Source organism: Homo sapiens, chromosome 17 (genome assembly GCF_000001405.40).
Source record: "Homo sapiens chromosome 17, GRCh38.p14 Primary Assembly".
NCBI classification, from domain to species: domain Eukaryota; kingdom Metazoa; phylum Chordata; class Mammalia; order Primates; family Hominidae; genus Homo; species Homo sapiens.
Genome location: NC_000017.11, coordinates 51,397,306 through 51,400,568, shown reverse-complemented (window position 1 = coordinate 51,400,568; position 3,263 = coordinate 51,397,306). Strand labels below are relative to the sequence as shown.

General features: G+C 45.1%; 1 annotated feature.

Moving 5' to 3' along the window:
• Positions 2,406–2,993: an enhancer, noted in NCBI's record as "OCT4-NANOG-H3K27ac hESC enhancer chr17:49474937-49475524 (GRCh37/hg19 assembly coordinates)". NCBI's record gives its function as "activates a minimal SCP1, AML or CMV promoter by ChIP-STARR-seq in naive H9 embryonic stem cells {active_cell/tissue: H9 hESC(naive)}" and the evidence as "EXISTENCE:reporter gene assay evidence [ECO:0000049][PMID:30033119]".

Here is a 3,263-nt window from a genome sequence, read left to right as displayed (position 1 = left end):
AAAATTCCAAATACAATCTGGAAGCAAAGCAATGTTTTCACAGCCCTTCTGTGTCAATCTGCAGGGAATGTCAGCATTAAGAAAACCAATTTGATCACTTTAGGGAACTCTCTTGCACGTGGTACAATAAGTCCTTTAAGGTTTAGCTAAACACCAATAAATTGTTCCAAAAATCTCATAATAATCAGTCATTCGGATCACTCTTCATGAATTCCGTATTTTTTAAAAGGGATATTTGAATGCACTTTGCAAATTATGGTGTCTTCCCTAAATGGTATCTAAAGTTCATGATAATTTTCAGTGACAGTATTTGTGTAAATATGGATGCCATTCATTCTTTTATATATTCCACAAGCGATTATTCAGTGCCTGCTCTGTGCTGGACACAGCATGCTGTGTTTTTTCTTCAAGGATCTACGGCATAGCAGGGACACACAGAAAGAGCAGACAATTACAATATGGCCACGAGGCACTGAGTGGGGTGAGTACCCAGCACTAAGGAAGGCCTAGATTTGTGGAATAAGAGGCCACATGAAGCTAGGAATTCACATCCTAGCTAAGACCTGCAGGATGTATAGAGTGGCCAATAAAATACCCAAATAAGAATCCTGCTATCAGCTGGGCATGGTGGCTCACACCTTTAATCCCAACATTTTGGGAGGCCGAGGCAGGCGGATCACTTGAGGTCAGGAGTTCAAATCCAGCCTGGCCAACGTGGTGAAACTCCGTCTCTACTAAAAATACAAAAATTAGCTGGGCGTAGTGGCATACGCCTGTATTCCCAGCTACTTGGGAGGCTGAAGCAAAAGAATCACTTGAACTGGGAGGCAGAGGTTGCAGTGAGCCGAGATCATGCCACTGCACTCCAGCCTGGACGGCAAGGCGAGACTCCATCTCAAAAAAAAAAAAAAAGAAAAAAGAAAAAGAATCCTGCTATCACTTCTGGAGAGAATAAAAGCTCCTGATTCAGAAAAGCCTAGGTGTAAATCATAGCTTACCAGTTGGGTGTTACTGGGCAAATTCCTTCATTTATGTGAGCCTCTGTTTCCTGATTTGGAAGATAAGCATACTAACATTCACTTTCCGGGCTCAGTTTAAGGATTACTTGTAAATTGCCCAGCACAGTACCTGGCACACAGTACATACTTAATAAATGGGAGCCATTGTTTGCATGAGAGTGGGAAGTCAATAAACAGTTGTTCCTTTCAACAGACCAGGAGTAACCCTGAGCTGACAGACACAGGCAGCCAGGGAAAATAAAGTAAAAACATTACCATATTTCCTCATTAAAACCTGACTTCGCTTTGAAAATGAGAAGATTTTTCCTCCCTCTTCTCTCATACATTGTGATTAACAAACCTACTCCAAAGTGGGAGAAATGCCACTTCCCCCTCCAATAAATAATAAGGTGAAATTTTTCTACATGCTCCGGGCCACCTCTGGTCTCATCTTTGTGAGCCAGCAGGAAGCCTCTCCTGAGTGCTGAGGGTGACTGTAATTGAATCATTTGGCATGAAATTGGGGAATGCACCATAATAAATCAGACCCACTCCTGTATCCTGAAAGAAGCAGGCACCTAAGAGACGCGGATGCCAGATCTAGCTGGGAGGGCCCAGCTGCTGGGGCCATAGAAGGTTGCATGCATTTCTGCACAGTTGTTGAAAGGAAGACTATTGACAGGTCATGCCACCTATCCTTCTGACTCCAGAACACCGTGCACTCATCCAGCAGACATAGACAGAGCCTTTGATGTGTGCAGACGTGCTCAGGAAAGCAGATTGCTCAGGCAGCAAAATCAGATAGTGGGAAAAGCAGAGGCTCTGAGTCTGACAGCCTAGTTCAGGACCAAACCTTTGTTCCATCTCTTGCTAGCTGTGTGTCTTTGGGCAAGTTCCTCAACCTGACTGAGCTTCCTCATTTGTAAAAATGAGGATTATAAAAATACAACCGTATTAGTTTCCTATTGCTGCTATAATAAACACTGCAAACTTAGTAGCTTAACACAACACAGATTTATTCTCTTACAGTTCTAGAGCTCATAAGTCTGAATTCAGATTCACTGGGCTAAAGTCAAGATATCAGCAGGGCTGGTTCCTTCCAGAGCATCTGAGAGGAGAATTCATTTCCCTGCTTTTTCAGCTTCTAACAGCCACTTGTGCTTCTTGGTTCGTGGCCCTTTCCTCCGTCTTTAAAGTACATCACTCCAACTGCTGCTTTATCACGTTGCCTTCTCTGACTCTGACCCTTTCGGCTCCTTCTTACAAGGAAGGGCCCTTGTGATTATACCAGGCTCATGTGGATAATCCAGGATAAGCCCAGTCTTAAGATCATTAACTTCTGTCTGCAAAGTCCCTTTTGCCGTGTAAGGTATCACTCACAGATTCTGGGATTAGGATGTGGACATATTTGTAGGGGTCATTATTCAACCCAACAATATTACCAAAGAACAAAACAAGATATGTAAAGCACCTAACACTATGCCTGGAACCCGACAGGCCGTTGGTAACCTTCCCTCCTTTCCTACTCCCCCTGGACCCCCAGGGGACACTTGTGCCTGGAGGGATCATTGCATAGGTGCGCCTTGCCTTTCATGCCATACTTACCATACCCTGTCTTCACAGCTGACTCATCAAGCTGCACTTGGAAGCTGCATAGCTTCCCACTGAGATTCTGACTGTTCCTGATTCTGTGATGAGGCACCTCTCGTCATCTGTGACATTCTTCTGGTCAGGGGTTGTTTGCTTTCAAGGAAAAGAAACTCTCTTGGGCTAGATTGAGTCATTGTAGGGCTACAATAAGCAATCAAGCATCCAGAGACAGGAAACTGGGTCGCAAAGGACTGGGAAACTCCTGCAACTCTCCGTCTGGACCTTGGCACATCTCTGCTTCTCTCCACTTAATCCTCTCAAAAGACCAGCTTTGGGGCAAGGCTCTAGAGTCTCCCCTAATACCTTCAGTTTGCCAATGGGTCTCGCTGGCCCTGGCTCCAACTCTGGCCCCAACATTGCATGAACGTCCCTTGCCCAACACCATCCCATCCAGTCAGTCTCTATACCCTTTCATTCTGTTGATCAATAGAGATTGGTTGGCTTAATGCATTGGTGATACCCCTGACTTAGGTGTCTGCCCCAGCTCAATCAGCTCTATGGTTAAGGGGCTGAGATGGCAGAGGACAGACCCAGACTCATATCTCTCTCCACACCTGGGAGAGAGAGAGCAATCTCCAAAAAAGGCAATCTGGGCCGACACTCACTCCAAAGCAC